At 47.7% G+C, this 20,118-nt stretch overlaps 2 long non-coding RNA genes and 2 pseudogenes across 3 annotated transcripts in view, besides 2 other annotated features; 2 read left to right on the top strand and 2 right to left on the bottom strand.

Moving 5' to 3' along the window:
• The window catches only part of ITFG2-AS1 (ITFG2 antisense RNA 1), a 70,299-nt gene extending 58,571 nt beyond the window's left edge, over window positions 1–11,728 (top strand). The window contains exon 4 of the long non-coding RNA NR_146317.1: window positions 11,565–11,728. This is a non-coding gene — a long non-coding RNA (ITFG2 antisense RNA 1). The remainder of the gene's footprint in view (window positions 1–11,564) is intronic.
• Window positions 651–1,151: an enhancer, noted in NCBI's record as "H3K4me1 hESC enhancer chr12:2862369-2862869 (GRCh37/hg19 assembly coordinates)". NCBI's record gives its function as "activates a minimal SCP1, AML or CMV promoter by ChIP-STARR-seq in naive H9 embryonic stem cells {active_cell/tissue: H9 hESC(naive)}" and the evidence as "EXISTENCE:reporter gene assay evidence [ECO:0000049][PMID:30033119]".
• On the top strand, window positions 1,117–1,787 carry IQSEC3P1 (IQ motif and Sec7 domain 3 pseudogene 1; annotated as a pseudogene).
• Window positions 1,396–1,608: a silencer, noted in NCBI's record as "fragment chr12:2861912-2862124 (GRCh37/hg19 assembly coordinates)". NCBI's record gives its function as "represses an EF-1alpha promoter that drives an FKBP-Casp9 reporter gene in an ReSE screen in HepG2 liver carcinoma cells {active_cell/tissue: HepG2}" and the evidence as "EXISTENCE:reporter gene assay evidence [ECO:0000049][PMID:32094911]".
• LINC02371 (long intergenic non-protein coding RNA 2371) lies at window positions 7,692–14,279 on the bottom strand. Of its 2 annotated transcripts, NR_186579.1 has the most exons (5): window positions 14,153–14,279; window positions 12,174–12,280; window positions 11,746–11,849; window positions 10,807–10,890; window positions 7,692–8,318 (listed from the first exon to the last, which is right to left on the bottom strand). It is a non-coding gene; the product is annotated as a long intergenic non-protein coding RNA 2371 (long non-coding RNA). The 2 variants fall into 2 exon arrangements; NR_186578.1 differs by lacking the exons at window positions 7,692–8,318; window positions 10,807–10,890 and having other exon boundaries at window positions 11,433–11,849.
• On the bottom strand, window positions 11,548–12,296 carry LOC100422463 (calcium voltage-gated channel subunit alpha1 C pseudogene; annotated as a pseudogene).
• Window positions 14,280–20,118: the final 5,839 nt, after the last annotated feature.

The raw sequence follows: 20,118 nt of genomic DNA, 5'->3' as shown, positions 1-20,118 counted from the left end.
GAAGCCTCTCCCTCCCTTAAGCCCTGTGGCACTTGGCTTGAAGAGCTCTTACAGAGATCTTGACTTATATTTTACTGATTCATGTGCATGACATATCTACTCTACTATACTGGAATCAATTAGATTACAGAAACAATAATTTCTTATCTATGCCTGGTGGAGATCCTAGTACATTACTTTGCACATATGCATCTGTCAGGTACTTTACATAAAATTATTATAGAAATGAATGATTTGGTTGATGCTGATTAGTATCTCTGAGCTTTTGCTCATGCTGCCCTTCCTTTCTGGAAAACTTTTCTCACTTTAAGAGTCACTTCCTCCTGTAGTTCATAAATGTTTGTCAAATAGAATGATTTATTCAGAAGTTTCTGGAAGAATTAGCCCTTGCTACAGAGGGCCTGGTTTATTTAGTTTGTGTTCCTAGTAGAAACAGCCAAAACCGTCCTGAGGTCTCACTCCCAGAGAAAACCCAGCATGAACAGTCTTCCCACCCCAAGTTTTATCATGGCTGAAGGAAGGAGCAGGACCAGATGCTCTTTAAGGTCGCTTAGAGCTCCAGGATCCTTGTGTTCCAGGGAATTCCCCAGAACAATAGATTGCTGCGAGCAAGAGGCGAGTGTGGGCTCTCCTCAGCGGGTCTCTAGATGGATTCCAGCCGCTGGAAGGCCTGGGCCTGGGAAAAGAATTTGCGCCCCTTCAGGGACCCACGCCTTCCTCTTCTCCAGCTCATTTCTCTCTTTCTTTGCCCCCACCTTCCCCTTTTCTTCTTCCTCTCTGCCAGCTTCTCCCCTTCTCTTCCTTTTTTTTCTGCTTCTCTTCTCCTACCGGCCCCACCGCACCTTCCCTGTATCACCTCTTCCCCTTCGCCTACTTTCCCGTCTTGCCAGTCAGATTCACCCTCCTTCTCGGGTCGCCTGCGTTATCCTGCTTCCCTCCCACGCCCCGACACAGGCTCCCTCTCGCTGGCCTCCTCCCTCTCCTCTCTGCCCAGCGGGAGGCAGAGCCTCCTCTGGACACCAAGAGACAGGAAGGGGTGCTCTGGGCCGCGGCCTCTCCCCGTGGTGAGTGTGTGACAATCGGGGTGGCGGTGACGCGGCGCTGGCGGCGGGAGGGAGGCTGGGCCCGTGGGAGAGGACCGCTGGGCTGCTGGGTTCCCGCGCCCTCGCGCTCCCAGGCGCCAGCCCAGGGGCAGGCAGGGCGCAGGCGGCGGTGGGTGGCATCGAGAGCCTGCTGGAAAACCCGGTGCGCGCCGTGCTGTACCTCAAGGGCTCTGGGCCATCCATCGTGCAGAACCAGCAGAGCCTCGTCCACATCCAGCGCCAGCGCATCGACGAGCAGGAGCGGCGGCTGGATGAGCTGAGCGCGGAGAACCGCAGCCTGTGGGAGCACCAGCAGCAGCTGCTGCAAGCCCACCCTTGTGCCCGCCATCGTCGTTCCCGGTACTGGCCTTCTGGGCCACTGCTCTCACCGTTGCCACTGGGGGCCAGGAACCTCTCCAGGACCAGGGACAGCGCTCACCCGCCGCGCCACACCCCGCGCCCGAGCAGACGCCGCTTAAGCACCACGGACAGCTCCTGACGCAGCCCCAGCCTCCTGGCGGCCGGGCTCATACAGCCCAAGCGCCCCACCAGCTCCCGGGACACTTGGGGCCGCTACATACAAGTAGAAGGAGGGGTCACCGACTCTCCTGCAGCCCTTCTTCAGTACAAATGCCCCGCGCCCTCGGCAAGGGCGTCCTGAGCAGGAGACCTGAGTGAGCGGGGAGGAGCAGATGGGCACTGCTGTGGTGGGAGCCAGGGAAGAAAGTGGGTGTGAGAAGGAAACGGGGAAATAGAATGCGCAGGAGTCTAAAGGACCGGGGTGATGTGGCGTGAAGGGGTGAGAAGACGCTTGGGGACAAAAGCGTGACAGGAGATTTGGGGATGACGAAGGAACGATATCTGTGCTTGAGAAAGTTTTGGAGAATGTTGGAGCAAAAAAGGAGTAACCAGACCATCGGTAGGGGCAAAGGAGGAAATAAATGGGTTTTAAGCGACTGGGGACGTTGAGAACTGGCGGATTTAAAGGGGACTAGACTGTCAGGAAGTTTGAGTGAAGACTAAACTGAAGAAAAGAGAACCACTGAAAGATTTTTTTAAGTTAGGAAAAATTTGGAAGGAAGTTTGGGTAGTAAAAGTATTTGAATGGAGAGTGAGATATGAAAATATGGAGACTGGGAAAAAGGCATGTGAAGGGCTTTAACAGGGCTGGGGCCCAGGAAGAATGGTACTCGGGTACAGGGTAATTCAGGAGGCAGAGGACATAGCTGAAAAGCAGGAGTGATGTGGGAAAGCAGGGGAGCTGGAGGCAGGGGAAGAGAAAGTGTAGCTCTTTACATGTTGCAGTGGGCATCACAGCCAGGAGTGGCTCTTTAGGGGAAGCTTTCTCTGCTCTGACCAGAGGGGGCACCTTTCTTCTGAATTCCTGCAGAGCTGAAGCCATGCAAGGAAGCATCCCATCAGACTAATGGAGGACTCAGGTATAGCTTGAGGACTTGGTCTGGTTATAGCTTTTTCCTTCAACTCAAGAAGGATTTCCATGCAAGGTCATTGGCCATCATGGAAAGGGAATGATGATACAGGGGACAGTTGGCGGATGGAGTTGGTATTTGGATGACCTGACTGTTTAAATCTTCCTGTTAAGGCCAGCAGCTGCAAACCTGATTTCCTCTTGGTTATCTGCTGATCACTGAAATCTCATCTTGGGTCCTGAGAAAAATGTTAACTTCCCAGGACCTAGGGCCTAAAGCTCTTTCTTCATTCATGAGGTCTGTGAACTAGGCATATGGGAAGAAGACATGAAAGGGGCTGGCATGCACTCTCCTCTGTACTGGAAGGCTGTGGCTATGTCAGCTGTATTTCTCTGGTTAGACAGGTCATGGGGAACAAAAGGGAAGAACAGCTGGAGGAAATCACACCTGGTCAGCACCTGGCCTTGACAATGGTTATGCTAAAGGGGATTGGGAAGGGGAAAGTAGAGCTGGGAATCTCATCTTCATATAGTTTCATGTGTGTTTTAAGTCTGGGGGATACTTGTGAAGATTTCCTGTGTTCCATAAAAGCTAATTTTCTTCTTGCATCTGCTGTAGAGTTAGAGAAGTTGGGTTAGGGCATGTTAGCTCACAGGGTAGGTTGACCAGAAGCATGGAATCGAAGAGGTGATGATCTAACATGATCTGGCTTGGCAGACCTACAACATTCTATTCAGGCCCCCAAAAGACGCTGTTTTCTACCCCAACTTCCTCAATGGCCCATTTGCGCTTCCCTCAGTCTCACATTTTTGTTGTTTTGGTTGTTGTTATGTTTACTTGTCTGGCAAAAGCAGAAAAACAATTTTCCCTCAATGCTCAAGTCTCATCAAAAAGGAACATTTGGAGGTGCGCAGTGGCTCACACCTATAATCCCAGCAGTTTGGGAGGTTGAGGCAGGCAGATCATCTGAGATCAGGAGTTCAAGACCAGCCTGGCCAGCATGGTGAAAACCTGTCTCTAATAAAAATTAAAAAAAAATTATTTGCGGGCAAGATGGCTGAGTAAGAAGAGCTCTGGTCTGCAGCTCCCAATGAGATCAGCATAGAAGGCAGGTGATTTCTGCATTTCCAACTGAGGTACCCAGCTTATCTCATTGGGACTGGTTAGACAGTGGGTGCTGCCAACGGAGGGTGAACAGAAGCAGGGTGAGGCGTCACCTCACCTGGGAAGCTCAAGAGGCCGGAGAACTCCCTGCCCTAGCCAAGGGAAGCCGTGGGGGACTGTGTCTTCAGAAATGGTGTACTCCGGCCCAGATACTATGCCTTTCCCACAGTCTTCACAACCTGCCGACCAGGAGATTCCCTTGGGTGCCTACACCACCAGTACCCTGGCTTTCAAGCACAAAACTGGGTGACCATTTGGGCAGACACCGAGTTAGCTGCAGGAGTGTTTTTTCATACCCCAGTGGCTCCTGGAACACAAGCGAGACAGAACCGTTCACTTCCCTGGAAAGGGGGCTGAAGCCAGGGAGCCAAGTGGTCTAGCTTAGCAGATCCCACCTCCATGGAGACCAGCAGGCTAAGGTCCACTGGCTTGAAATTCTCACTGCCAGAACAGCAGTCTGAAGTCGACCTAGGATGCTTGAGCTTGGTGGGGGAGGGGTATCTGCCATTACTGAGGCTTGAGTAGGCAGTTTTCACCTCACAGGGCTTCCAGGAAGTTCGAATTGGGTGGAATTCACTGCAGTGTGGCAAAGCCACTGTAGCCGGACTGCCTCTCTAGATTCTTCCTCTCTGGGCAGGGCATCTTTGAAAGAAAGGCAGCAGCCCCAGTCAGGGGCTTATAGATAAAACTCCCATCTCCCTGGGACAGAGCACCTGGGGGGAGGAGTGGCTGTAGGCACAGCTTCAGCAGACTTAAATGTTCCTGCCTGCTGGCTCGGAAAAGAGCAGCGGATCTCCAAGCACAGCTCTAGAGTTCTACACAGTGTAAACAAAGCTTCCGGGAAGTTCGAACTGGGTGGAATCCACTGCAGCGCGGCGGAGGCAAGGAAACTAAGAACGCTGAAAAAAGGTTAGAGGATACCCCTCCCCCACCAAGCTCAAGCATCCCAGGTCGACTTCAGACTGCTGTTCTGGCAACGAGAATTTCAAGCCAGTGGACCTTAGCCTGCTGGGCTCCATGGAGGTGGGATCTGCTAAGCTAGACCACTTGGCTCCCTGGCTTCAGCCCCCTTTCCAGGGAAGTGAACGGTTCTGTCTCGCTTGCGTTCTGGGTGCCACTTGGGTAAGAAAAAAAACTCCTGCAGCTAACTCGATGTCTCTCCAAACAGCTGCCCAGTTTTGTGCTTCAAACCCTGGGCCCTGGTGGCGTAGGCACCCGAGGGAATCTCCTGCTCTGTGGGTTGCAAAGACGGTGGGAAAGGCACAGTATCTGGGCTGGAGTGCACTGTTCCTCAAGACACAGTCCCTCACTGCTTTCCTTGGCTAGGGGAGGTAGTTCCCTGACCCCTTGAGCTTCCTGGATGAGGCGATGCCCCACCCTACTTTGGCTGGCTGTCCGTGGGCTGCACTCACTGTCTAACCAGTCCCAATGAGATGAGCCAGGTACCTCAGTTGGAAATGCAGAAATCACCAGCCTTCTGCCTTGATGTCGCTGGGAGCTGCAAACCGGAGCTGTTTCTATTCTGCCATCTTGCCAGCCACCAGGAGCTGGTTTTTTGAAAAGGTTAACAAAATAGATAGATCACTAGCCAGACTAATAAAGAAGAAAAGAGAGAAGAATAAAAAAGACACAATAAAAAATGATAAAGGGGATATCACCAGTGATCCCACAGAAATACAAACTACCATCATATATTACTATAAAAATCTCTATGCAAATAAACTAGAAAATCTAGAAGAAATGGATAAATTCCTGGACGCATACGCCCTCCCAAGACTAAACCAGGAAGAAGTCTAATTCCTTCTGAAATTCTGAATATCAAGTTCTGAAATCGAGGCAGTAATTAATAGCCTACTAATCAAAAAAAGCCCAGGACCACAAGGATTCACAGCTGAATTCTACCAGAGGTACAAAGAGGAGCTGGTACCATTCCTTCTGAAACTATTCCAAACAATAGAAAAAGAGGGAATCCTCCCTAACTCATTTTATGAGGCCAGCATCATCCTGATACCAAAACCTGGCAGAGACACAACAAAAAAAAAAATTTCAGGCCAATATCCCTGATGAACATCGATGCAAAAATCCTCAATAAAATACTGGCAAACCGAATCCAGCAGGACATCAAAAAGCTTATCCACCAGGATCAAGTTGGCTTCATCCCTGGGATGCAAGGCTGGTTCAACATATGCAAATCAATAAACGTAATCCATCACATAGAGAGAACCAATGACAAAAGCCACATGATTATCTCAATAGATGCAGAAAAGGCCTTTGATAAAATTCAACATCCCTTCATGCTAAAAACTCTAAATAAACTAGGTATCGATGGAATGTATCTCAAAATAATTAAGAGCTATTTATGACAAACCCACAGCCAATATCATACTGAATGGGCAAAAACTGGAAGCATTCCCTCTGAAAACTGGCACAAGACAAGGATGCCCTCTCTCACCACTCCTTTTCAAGATAGTATGGGAAGTTCTGGCCAGGGCAATCAGGCAAGAGAAAGAAATAAAGGGTATTCAGATGGGAGGAAAGGAAGTCAAATTGTCTCTGTTTGCAGATGACATGATTCTATATTTAGAAACCCCCATCATCTCAGCCCAAAAACTTCTTAAGCTGATAAGCAACTTCAGCAAAATCTCTGCATACAAAATCAGGGTACAAAAATCAAGCATTCCTATACACCAATAATAGACAAACAGAGAGCCAAATCATGAGTGAATTCCCATTCACAATTGCTACAAAGAGAATAAAATATCTACGAATACAACTTACAAGGGATGTGAAGGACCTCTTCAAGGAGAACTACAAATCACTGCTCAAGGAAATAAGAGAGGACACAAACAAATGGGAAAACATTCCATGCTCATGGATAGGAGGAATCAATATCGTGAAAGTGGCCATACTGCCCAAAGTAATTTATAGACAATGCTATCCCCATCAAGCTACCATTGACTTTCTTCACAGAATTAGAAAAAACTACTTCAAATTTCATATGGAACCAAAAAAGAGCCCATATAGCCAAGACAATCCTAAGCAAAAAGAACAAAGCTAGAGGCATCATGCTACCCGACTTCAAATTATATTACAAGTCTACAGTAACCAAAACAGCATGGTACCGGTACCAAAACAGATATATAGACCAGTGGAACAGAACAGAGGCCTCAGAAGTAACATCATACATTTACAACCATCTGATCTTTGAGAAACCTGACAAAAACAAGAAATGGGGAAAGGATTCACTATTTAATAAATGATGTTGGGAAAACTGGCTAGCCCTATGCCGAAAACAGAAACTGGATCCCTTCCTTACACCTTATACAAAAATTAACTCAAGACTGATTAAAGACTTAAACTTAATACCTAAAACTATAAAAACCATAGAAGAAAACCTAGGCAATACCATTAAGGACATAGGCATGGGCAAAGACTTCATGACTAAAACACTAAAAGCAATGGCAACAAAAGCCAAAATTGACCAATGGGATCTAATTAAACTAAAGAGCTTCTGCACAGCAAAAGAAACTATCATCAGAGTGAACAAGAAACCTACAGAATGGGAGAAAATTTTTGCTATCTATCCATCTGACAAAGGGCTAATATCCAGAATCTACAAAGAACTTAAACAAATTTACAAGAAAAAAACAACCCCATCAAAAAGTGGGTGAAGAATATGAATAGACAGTTCTCAAAAGAAGACATTTATGTGGCCAACAAACATATGAAAAAAAGCTCATCATCACGGGCCATTAGATAAATGGAAATCAAAACCACAATGAGATACCATCTCACTCCAGTTAGAGTGGTGATCATTAAAAAGTCAGGAAACAACAGATGCTGGAGAGGATGTGGAGAAATAGGAACACTTTTACACTGTTGGTGGGAGTGTAAATTCGTTCAACCGTTGTGGAAAACAGTGTGGCGATTCCTCAAGGATCTAGAACCAGAAATACCATTTGACCCAGTAATCCCGTTACTGAGTATATACCCAAAGGATTATAAATCATTCTACTTTAAAGACACATGCACACGTATGTTTATTGCAGCACTATTCACAATAGCAAAGACTTGGAACCAACCCAAATGCCCATGTATGATAGACTGGATAAAGACAATGTGGCACATGTACACTTTAAAATACTATGTAGCCATAAAAAAGGATGAGTTAATGTCCTTTGCAGGGACATGGATGAAGCTGGAAGCCATCATTTTCAGCAAACTAACACAGGAACAAAAAACCAAACACCGCATGTTCTCACTCACAAGCGGGAGTTGAACAATGAGAACACATGGACACGGGGAGAGGAACATCACACACCGGGCCAGTCTGGGGGTGGGGGAGCTAAAGAAGGGATACCATTATGAGAAATACCTAATGTAGATGACAGGTTAATGGGTGCAGCAAACCACCATGGCATGTGTATACCTTTGTAACAAACCTGCACGTTCTGCACATGTATTCCAGAACTTAAAGTATAATAAAAAAAATAATAAAAAAATTAGCCAGGCATGGTGGAGCATGCCTGTAGTCCCAGCTACTCGGGAGGTTGAGATGGGAGAATTACTCAAACCCTGGAGGCAGAGGTTGTAGTGAGTGAGATCACACCACAGCACTCCAGCCTGGGCGTCAGAGTGAGATCTGTTAAAAAAAAAAAAAAAAAGAAAGAAAGAAAAGAAAAAGAACATTCTTCAAAGACGCTAAGTGGTCTTTTCCTTAAATAGGGAGAAAGAAATTTTCCTTCTTTGGGGTAAATGCCAAAGAGTACAATTGCTGAGTCACATGGCAAGTGTATGTTTGGTTTTATAAGAAACTGCCAAAATATTTTCCACAGTGGCTGTGGGAAGGGAAGGGAAGGGAAGGGAAGAAAGGGAAGGTCTAGTCACACAAATGGTGCATGAGCTGTCCAGTTTCTTAGCATTCTTGCTAGCATTTGGTGTTTTAATTTTTTTTTTTTTGATGTTATCCATTCTAACAGGCATAGCAATAGCTCATGTGGCTTGAATTTCCATTCCCCTAAGGGGCTAATGGTGCTGATCATATTTATATGTGTGCATGTGCTGTTCACATCCTTTCTTTGGTGAAATGTCTATTCATGTCTTTTGCCCATTTTCTCATGGGATTGTTTTTTTTTTTTTTTTTGAGACGGAGTCTCGCTCTGTCACCCAGGCTGGAGTGCAGTGCTGTGATCTTGGCTCACTGCAACGTCTGCCTCCCGGGTTCAAGTGATTCTCCTGCCTCAGCTTCCTGAGTAGCTGGGACTACAGGCGTGTGCCACCACATCTGGCTAATTTTTTGTATTTTTAGTAGAGACGGGGTTTCACCATGTTAGCCAGGATGGTCTAGATCTCCTGACCTCATGTTCCTCCCACCTTGGCCTCCCAAAGTGCTGGGATTACAGGCATGAGCCACCGCGCCCGGCCGAGATTGTTTTTTTTTAAAATGTGTTGAGTTTTGAGAGTTCTTCATGGATTCTGGATATAAGTCTTTTGTCTGCTATATGGCTTGCAGATGTTTTCACTCAGTCTGTAGCATGTCTTTTCATCCTCTTAATAGGATCCTTCACAGATCAAGAGTCCCACATTTTGATGAAGTCCATGTTATAAGTTTTTCCACATATGAATTGTTATTTTGGTGTCATGTCTAAGAACTAGATGTTGAATATTTCTCCTATGTTTTCTTCTAAAAGTTTTATAGTCTTGCATGTTACATTTAAATCTGTGACCCTTTGGAACTAATTTTGATATTAGGAGGAATTTCAGGTTGAGGTTCAAATTTTGCACATGAAAATTCCATTATTCCCATAGCATTTGTGGAAAAAATGCCCTTTCTCTATTGAGTTACTTTTGCACCTTTGTCAGAAATCACTTGGCCATATTTGTGTAGATTCATTTCTGTACTCTGTATTCTGTTCCATTGGTCTCTGTGTCCATTCCTTCAATAAACCACATGATTGTGATTACTCTTGCATTAAAGTAGGACTTAAAATACTGTAGCACAGTATTTTCATCTAAATGAAACTAAATTCATCTTTTTACCTTCACTTTTGCATATAAATTTAAAAATCAGTTTGTCTATATAGACAAAATATCCTATGCTAGGATTTTGATGGATTTGTATTTAAGTTACAGATCAATCTGGGGAGAATTGAAATTTTTACTATGTTGAATCTTCCCATCCGTGAATATCTCTTCATTTATTTAGACCTTCTTTGATTTTGTTTATAGCACTTTTTAAGTTTTCAGAGTAGACAATCTTGTATACCTAAGAATTTCATTTTTCAGAAGTATTATAAATGTAATTTTTGCAACATTTAAAATTTCCAGTTATTTATTGCTAGCATGTAAGTATTGAATTTAGTATTGCATGTGTTGACCTTGTATTATTTCTGGGTTTTCGTCTCCCCCAAGAAAGTCAATTTTTTACACAAGGAAGTCACTCTGGTTCTCCCTCCATGTTTGTCTACGCAGTGTCCACCCTTCCAGGTGTAGGCAATTCCCTTATCTAGAGCTCAACCCCAGCCCTTGGGCCTTAACGGTGTGTGTCCTGGGGAGGTGGTTCAAGCATCCCCCGTCAATGTAGAGATGTGGCAGAAACCCGTTCACCTGTTATATTGGTATCTGGCTCCAGAAAGAAACGTTTCATTGCTTTGACATAAAAATAAATTGATGAATGAAGTTAAACCCAGAAGAAGCTTCGCAAAGAGGCCGTGTAAGCATCTGCCCATGGGACTCCCTTCCACGCACCGTCTTTCTCACTAGGTGTTGGGGAGGACAGGGAGCTGGGGCTGGGGAGGGCAGTGGGAAGAGGGAGCTTTGCTTAGTTACAGGGAAAGGTGCCCCATTCCTGACAGTTGTAGGACTCTTCTTTCCCTCCTATCTTCCCCCTCAACCTCTTCAAATCGTAGCCTCTGGAGAACCTGGACTCTGGCGGCTGAGGCCTCCCTGGGAGTGAGGTTTGGGCTTCCCCGCCTGCCTTTGCACAGCAGCCTGTGTCAGGTGGCACCTGGACAGCCTGAGGGGAGGGACATCAGCAGAGGGGGGACAGGGCGGCAGACACCCCCACATCCCACCAGCTAGGCTGAGGTGGCTGGGACAACACCCCCAGATGGAACGAGTACTCTTCTCACCTTCCCAAATAGATCTTTGAGATGTCAGCGGCTCCACCACACTGGTCACTGTAGGTGAGTGAGCTGAACACGTCCCTCCATGAACTGGGAAGAGACACAGAGGGAGTCAAACTATGCCCTTTTCTTGCCTCCATTCTCCCAGTCCTCTCTGTGCTGACATTTGCCTCAGAGGCAGATCTTGTTTAAAAAACAAAATTGGCCCAGGCTCCATCAGCAAGTAGTTTCCTCCCTTGGGATTTAAAGAGGTCTTCTGGGAATCAGCAGGCCCCTTTTGTGGCCTCTTTGCTGAATTGTTTCTAAATATATTTTAATTATTCTAGGCCTCTAGGGACAGAGATGCCGTCATCCTCCTTTGCCACCTTTTCTATGATGGTTTGATGAGGTTAAAAACCCCGACGACCAGGGTTCCACTCTATCCTTCTCCTAAACATTTGTTCTATTTCTTTGCCTTTAGGAGTGGTGGGTGTGTATTGTCAGGCCTATTGTAAAGGATGGTGTAAAGTAACCATCCAAAGGTTGGTTACTTTACACGTCCCTTTGGATGACTTCTGTACATAGCACTCTTGCTATGAGTAATTCCTTTGTAGAAATAGGCTCTATGGAGAATTGTCTCCTTGGACCCTTCATGTAGCTCACGACTTTTATTATGGAAATAAATGAATAAAAGCCTGCAATTGTGGACAGACACAAATATGCTTGGACATGGCTATCTCTGATCTTGTGTGGCTCAAAATAACTTACAGAGTCTTCATTTTCAGAGTGTTCTCACCCAAAAAGGTACCAACTTGGGCATGGAAAGACCTGTTTCTCCTGGACTCCTGGACGTGCCAGCCATCGAGACAGGGAAGACCCACTGATGTCTTCAGGATTTGTCCATCACCCTGGGGACTGTCTGGCCTGCTGGCAGGTGACAGTGGCCTGTCCAAAAGTGTGAGCTACCTGATGATGAACCAGATGCAAGGGCAGGACTGTCTTCTGAGAGATGTCTCCCCCTCGGTCCTTCTGTCACTTCAGACATTCCAGGTGGAAGGAGGCTCTTTGACCTGCAAAGCCAGCCAGAGAGCCAGGATCAGGGCAGGAAAACAGGACGCTGGCCTGTGACAATTCACACTCTGGTGGGGTGCCAGGAGCAGTAACTATGGCCCGAGACACTCCTCCTTTCCCCTCCCCTCGTCTGAGACGTATTCTGGTGTCCAGGGCTCATCCCTGCACACCCTGCCTTTGGAATGTTGTCTCCTTGCTTTGGAAATGCCCCCACTGTGTGGGGCTGATTTGAGGCAGGCCACAACGATTTCCCAATCATCCCTGACCAGTGTTCTCTAGGGAGTAACCACCGACCACATCCAGAAAGCGAGCGGTGCATTTACCTAGTGAGGCAGAGCGGAGGAAACCCCTCTTTGGAGATTGCCGGATGTCCCTCTTGTCCTCCTCTGGGAGCATCAGTTGCCGATTTTTGTCATCCTGGTAGGAGAGCCTGGAACAGAGAGCTCATGGGGCTTGTTCCTGGAGGCTGAGAAGTGGCCACCCATAGGGGCAGCTGCACCCCCAGAAAGCACTTTGCTCTGATCCTTAGTGAAGGGACGCCCACTTTGTGCTTACATGCAGGTTTGGGGAAGTTGCCTACCCAAGAAGTTCTGGCCTGCCCCTGGCATCTTCCAGGCCTGCTCAGTGGGAATGGCCAGCTCCTCACCCGCAGCCTGTCTCATAAGCCTGCAGTTCTGACTTGGGGCAGTGAAGGCACTCTGGGGTCAAAGGTGTTGAGAAAGCGGAAAGAATCCTAGGCCCATGAAGTTCTTTTGGGGAATGGCCTTGGCTCCCGTGTTTGCATGAGCTGATGCTGTTTTCCCCAGTGACCCTCAACTTTCACCCAAACTTATGCCCGTCCCCCGATTTCTCCCGCCCTGCCACCCCCTCATCAGCAAGAGCACATAAGCAGCTGCCTACAACCACTCTACGGTCACTCAGTAGGTGAACAGCAGGGCTGTGAGGGACCTCATGGGGCATCTAGTCTATGGCTTCCAGGCCTTTGATGGAAACTCGATGAGAAGTAGATTTGACAGCTTCTCATCACGCACAGACACACCTGATGGAATGAAGCCTCATGCCCTTTGCTTACCCTCAGTGCATGCATTGCACCCTGGTGAGTCCCAGTCCACTTTAGTCTGTTCTATTTTTATTAAAATTTTGATTCACAATCTCTGCTGGGTCAGCCTGCAGTTCAAGAAGCACAGCTGCATTCCAACCTCATTCCCAGATGAGACCACTGACTTGCTGGTCCCTGGTGCCACCCTACACCTCTGAGGGTGACTCCATGCCTGCTCATGGCACAGCACAGAGACTTGGATGATTTATAGATGTGCAGGAAGGCTGGTAGAGTGCAGACCGCAGTATTTATACCTTCAAGACTTGCTCTTACTCTCAGCTAGCTAAGGCCTCCCTATTATATTTTCTTCTTATGCAAATCACCCCGGCTCTTGCAGATCCAGCTAGTATTTGACCCTGTGCATGGTACCTACTAAGGTCACCCTGCCCTCAACCTTCTCTGAATGCCTGTACCCTTCGGGGTTCCGCCACTCTAGGGCAATTAATGAGAAACTCTCTGTGTTATCTTCCTCTCCTGAGACCCTCTTAGTTTACTAGTTTGTGGGATCTCCTTAAGGCATGATTTAGCAGGTGCCTCGGTGCACCAAGCACTCTAGAAAACCAACATAGGTTAAATTATATGCTTTTCCTGATTTCTAGGGAAGGTGGTCAGGTATTAATTTGTATTCCCTAAAAATCAATTTAGAGACTGTTATCTCATAAGGAGCTTTGGGTATTTCCCTTTTTTATATTGACTGTGTTTCACTTAGTCAGAAAAGTAGAAGGTCTGTCACCCCCACCGCCCCATTTTGCTGATGGGGACATGAAGGCACAGGGCAGTTGAGTGATTTGTCAAGCGCCGCTGGTTGGGACTCTTTCCATGCTTTTCCTTACTCACTCGATTCTTCTTTCTATGCTGGGGAAAAAGAGGTGCTTCTGCTACTCTTCCCATCCAGTTCCTGAGGAGAAAGCACTGGACCCCAGGAAGCCGCATGCTGTGCTGGCCTGGCTGCCGCTCTCCCCACACTCCTCAGGGTGGGGCACCTGGTGTCCCCTCCCACCACCTCCAGCCACACCTTTCCTGTCTTCAAAAGTCTGCAAGGCTAGTCCTTCCTCACTCTGACATCTTTTCAGGAAAGCTTCTAAACACTGTGTCTCAAACTGCTGTAAATGCCACCCACAGTCATAAGACGTTTCACAAGGTGACCCCCAGATACACACATCTATTGGCAATGAAACAAGTGTTTCCCAACACAGTGCTTACCTTTGTGACATTTGATGCATTCTGATAGTTTCTGTTGTGCTGTGCTGCGCTATGCTATTCTTCTAAGGGTTAGTCATAACCGACCAAATGGATGTCACCACCTTCTAATGGATCTAGATCCGCAGCTAAAATCCTCCAAAAATTCCAGCAAGGACAAAAATCTCAGGCCTGGCTTTGCCACCAGTGCCCTCTTCTGGGCAGCTTTATTATAAGCAGTGTCTTGAAACACTTGTGTAATTGTCAATAGATGTATGTGTACACTGAATCTCACCAGAAAACATTTTTATGACTGTTGGTTACAGCCTAAAACGTTTAAGAAACAATGTTTAGGAATTTTTCTGGTCAGGAAAGCCCAAACTAAAAAGCATCGTGTGTGCGTGTGTGTGCGTGCGCGCGTGTGTGTGTGTGTGTGTGATGGGGGCTCCCGCTCCCCTAAGGAGATAACAGAGGCTGTGCAGATGTTTTCTCTGTGATCTCCTCTCCAGCAAATTATGCCCAGAGGAGGGATCTCAGGGACCTGCCCCTGCCTCCTCACATCTGTTCCCACACCAGGGCTTGGCTGGGAGAGGGCAGCTCACATCTCTGTGGAGAGCAGGCTGGGCTCACTGCAGGACTCCTATGTTGTGGGTTCATCTTCACTTCATAGGTTTTGTCCTGGGACCCAACCCCCCTCCTGACATGCCATGGCTGTCTGGCTTTCCTGGAAGTGACACCTACAATATCCAAGACGGAGAAAAACATCAGGAACTGCCAACACTTTTCCTCTTTCCTCAGTAAGCAATGCATTAAACATGCACACATGTGACATGCACACACACGTGCACATCTGCACACATGTGCACACACGTACACATCTGCACACATGCACACACGTGCACAGCTACACACATGCGAACAGGTACACACCTGCACACACGCATACACACATGCACACATGCACACATGTGCAAACACGCATACACACGTGCACATCTGTACACACGTGCACACCTGCACACATGCACACACGTGGACATCTACACACATGCACACACAGTACACATGTGCGCACACACCTGCACACATGCACACACACATACATGCACATCTGCACACATACACACATGCACACACACGTACATATCTGCACACACGCACACACGTGGACATCTGCACACACTCATACATACATGCACACATGCACACTCACATACACATCTGCACACATGCATACACACGTGCACATCTGCACACACATGCGGACATGCATGCAATTACTGTGGCCTTGTACTCCTGTGGTGGCTGATGAAGCCATGGATCCATGGAAGTGTTAAGATTAGGGTGAGGCCTCCATGTGGCAGGTTGTCTGGTGTGGAGCCAAGGAGATCTGAGTCCTGACCTCAATTCACTTATCCCTTGGTCCAAGTCACTTAGTGCACCCCTTGCCTTAGTTTCCCTTTATATGAAATTGAAGTGACATTTGTCCTGCCTGACCCAGAGGCCTATAGTGAGTCACAAATGAGGCGACAGACGAGACAGTGCTTTGAGACTGGGAAGAGACAGCTTTGACAGTGGGTCCTGGGCTGTGCCATAAAGGGCAGGGTGGGCCTGTGAGGAGGCTGCTGTCCCACCCCCAGCTGCAATAGCAGGGTCTTTGGGCATTTGTTTGACACAGCTGAGATGTCCCTGGCATCTTATTTTGATGGTGCCCTTGATTCTGACACCAGCTCCCTAGAGTAAAGGCACAGGCAGGAAGCTACCTAGAGGGGTTTGCAACTCTCCCACACCAGGACGTGCCTTTCCCTGCTGGGATAGGGTCTTCTGCTCACAGGGTTGTGTCTTCTTTAGCTCTGGGCCACAAGATCTTCCTTTTCCCATCTGTGCTCAGCTCAGTGCCTCCCTCTGTCTTGCTTCTGACCCACTTTACCCTCAGACCCCTGAGGGCATCAGGGAAATATCCTGGTCCATCCTCTCAGAGCTGAAAGCTGGATCAGTGCCCCTGGCTTTGAGCCTCTCAGGCAGGGTAGGGGCAGTTCTTTCTCGGGTCGGCCTACAGATCGCCACCTGCCCCACAGTGGAAGGAAAGATGAGAGGTGGGAGCTCCAGGAGGATTGGGAGGGGAGGGAGGTGGAGTGGGCTTTGGTGAGGCACGGAGGGAGGAGCTGGAGACACAGAGCAGCAGCAGGCAGGCAGCAGCACTTCTGGGGCCACGGGGAACAGACTTGCTGGTCCATCCTCACCACAAGAAATGCCAGGGCCTCAGCTGCTTTAGCCTTGAGCTGTGACGCAGAGGACAAGGCCCGGGAGCTGGAACGCGGGCTATGTTTCTCTTCACCAAGCTGAAGCTTGGCACCCTGTGTGTTGTTTGTACCCACTGCAGTGGGCAGAGGGAACCGACACTTCATGAGCACTGACTGTGTGCTGGGCACTGTGCCGGGTGCTTTGCATGTATTTTGCTATGTGGAGAGATGTATCTGTGGGGACAAGAAAATCCCCTGGAGTCTCCTCCCCCAACTCCTCTAAACATCCCTCTCCTCTTATGTCACAGAGAACAAAGCTTCACATGAAAATGCCCTTAGAGGGCAGGGACTTAATTCACCCTGAGATGCTAAAGACGGACATGGAGCCCTCCTTAAGCAGAAGCTTCATGAGGCCAGAGGGGAGAAGGGGTATGGGGACCGAGCCAGGACCTCTCTGGAATGAGAGTCTCCTGACCTACTTTCAAGCAAGGCAAGTCGGAGAATTCCTTTCTGACCATGCTCAGGGGAGAAAGGAGAAGTGTGGGTCAGAGAGTGACCTTCTTGCTCCTGCCGTTTTCTCCATCTGCTTCCATAGAAAATACTCAGGAGGCCAAGGGGCCATATGTTGGGGTAATGGGTTCTGGGCCCTGACACTGTCCTCCTACCTCTCTGACCATTTCCTCTCTCTTCCTTTGTGGACTTCTCTCGCAGGTGTCCATCTCTGTCCATCACGGGGACTCCGCCAGGGAGGGTGGGAGGAGGAAGCCAGGGATCTGGGGTGATCTGAGGGCAGCCTGAGAGGATTGAATGAGAGGGAGGGGGCAGGAGTGAGGGCCAGCTGCATTGATTACATTGATTCATATGAAATTGCTGATATTTGATCATTTTTACCTCTAAAAATCATAATTTCATCTGGTTCAAACTAAAACGTCAAAGCTTGCTTCAGTAAGGCTCATGTCCCACTGGACTTGTAGCCAGACGGTTGGGAGTGCAGGGTGCTTACAGGAAGGTGACTGGAAACCCTGCCGCAGGGCTCCTCTGCACACTTTGTAGCATCGCGGTTACAGAAGAGAGGTGCAGGGGACTCATGGGGAATCCTATATAGCCACAAAGTCACGCTTTTCCAGCTGAAAAGTGTATAGCTGACTGAAAACATCTGTCACTATTGCAGGAGGACAGAGAAGTACAGCAAATCTCTGCATCTCCAAGACTGGGAAGCCATCTCTGGGGTGATCTTGCAGAGCAGGCCCTGTAGTTCCATCGTTGTGTGGATCTGCACAGCAGGCTGTAATGCAGAGCCACTGCTGGAGCTTTAGAAATAGAGTTGTCAAATGGGTGGTTCTTCAAAGATATGCCTACAAAGTTCTCTGCAAAAACAAAAGGCTTGCTATAAGGAAGACTCCACTGCAGGGCAGCGGATGAGCAGCTTACCACCTGTGGATCTTAGTCAAGTCAATCTCTCTGAGCCTGTTTCCTCATCTATAAACGGGGATGATAATGCCTACCTCTTAAAGACTGTGCATAGCTTGCTTGGGCTGTCATACTGAATATCACAGACTGGGTAGCTTAAATAACAGAAATGCATTTTCTCCCAGTTCTGGAGGCTGGAAGTCTGAGATTCAGATGCTGTCAGGGTTGTTTTCTGGGGAGGGGTCTCTTCCTGGCTTGTGGATGGCTGCCTTCTTGCTGTGTCCTCACGTGGCCTCTTCTCTATGTACACGCAGAGAAAGACATCTGTAACATCTGTTCCTTTTCCTGTAAGGACACTAGTCCTGTCAGATTAAGGTCTCATGCTTACAACCTCATTTAACCTTTATACCTCCCTATAGCCCCTATCTTCAAGTAGTCATATTAAGGGTCAGGGTTTCCATATGTTAATTTTAGGGGGACACAAATCGATTCATTATAGACTGTTTTGAGGCTCACAGGACATAGATTATGCTCCGAAAATGGTAACTCTTTGGATATGCGTCATCCAGGAGGCCTAACAGGTTGCAGGGAATGAGGCTGATGAAGAAAAATCTGACCAAAGACCAAGATATCCCCAGGTCCTTGGAAGAGAACTGAACATGAGCACCAGATCCCACTCGACAGCATCAATATTTCACCGCACCTGGATTTATGCTTGAATCCACTGTTTAATAACTACCTGTGGCTTTCTTTCCTTAGTGCCAACTTCTCTCTCACTTCCTGGATTCAGTCACCCCCCACCAACTGTGCCTTGTCTCCTTCCCTGCTAGTCAATGAGCTCAGGCCTCTGTCCTTGATGGCTTGGCTGTGAACAATAGCTTCCTGCCTGAACTTTTGCCTTTATCCACTCAAATCCACTCACACCACAGACAGGCTGATCATGTACAATGTAGACTAGATCCTGTCACTTCCTTATTTGAAATGTTTCAGTGACTTCTATGATTTTAAGATAAACCCAAGCTTGTTAACAGGCTCACAAGGCCGACACCACCCACTCTAACCCCCATGTCCCTTGGCCTGGGTGCTTGCCACTCACCTACAAGTTTCACCCTCAGACTCAGATGCTCCTGGGTCTCTGCCTCTTTCTCTGCCCACTCCTGTTTGCTCCCACATCCTTGCCCCGGTCTGACTTTTCAGATCCCAGATTCCAAGTCACACCACCCTCTGGGGCCTTTTCTTGGAGTTGGGTCAGGCTTCATGTGTCCACGGGGCACCTGTTCCTCCTGTCCTGACGGTTACCTCACCGCACTGATTCTCTGTCCGCTTTAGGCTCTGAGCTCCAGGAGACGGTTGGCTGTGCCTACAGTTTTGTTTATCGTGGTCCCTGGCACAGCGTCTGGTCCAGAACAGATGCTCAAGTACTGGCTGAATAAATTTTCCTTTATGAATCATTTTTAATATTTCTGCTCCTATGTTCACAGAAGGCTTATTCGCAATAGCCCAAAGGTAGAGACCACTCAAGCATTCCCTGATGAATGAATATATAAAAGTGTGGTCTACTCATACAATGGAATATTATCTACCCTTGAAAGGGGATGGAATTCTGACACATGCTATGACATGGATGAACCTTGAGGGCATCACGTGAAGTGAAATAAGCCAGACACAAAGGAACAAATATTGTATGAATTCACTTCTCCTTCTCCTTCTTCTTCTCCTTTTTTGAGACAGAGTCTTGCTCTGTTGCCCAGGCTGGAGTGCAGTGGCGTGATCTCAGCTCACTGCAACCTCCGCCTCCCAGGTTCAAGCAATTTTCCTGCCTCAGCCTCCCGAGTGGTGACAGTTGCCCAACAATGTGAACATGCTTAATGCCACTGTGTCATGTTGCCCAAAATGGGTAAGATGGTAAATTCTGTGTTACGTATATTTTACCCCAATAAAAATAACTGTACTAAAACACTGTTTATGCAATTCCAAGTGACAAAACTAAAACCCCCAGGTAATACTGTAGAGAGACAGAAATGGATCAGGGTCCCCTGCTAGGGGCTGTGGTCAAGATTCCAGAGCCCATGGTGGGCAGGTCGCATAAAGGTCCCCACCATGGCTGGTCTTAATGCCACTAGATGGCCTCAGGTTACTCTTCCACCTGCTCCAGACCCAGCTGCTCATTTTTGTGTTCATGTCAACTGAGATATTTAAAAAGAACACCCAGGGCTTCATGAAACTGTTCTTAGAGTCTACTCACCAGGCTGCCTGCTAAGCAAGAGTGCCTTGAAATAGGCTTTGCTGCAGGTCCAGAAAGGAAACGTCCTTAAAGGCCCAGCAGCAGACTGTTTC

Source organism: Homo sapiens, chromosome 12 (genome assembly GCF_000001405.40).
Source record: "Homo sapiens chromosome 12, GRCh38.p14 Primary Assembly".
In the NCBI taxonomy this organism is placed as follows: Eukaryota; Metazoa; Chordata; class Mammalia; order Primates; family Hominidae; genus Homo; species Homo sapiens.
Note: the sequence above shows the minus strand (reverse complement) of the source record. Positions and strands in the feature narration are given on the sequence as shown.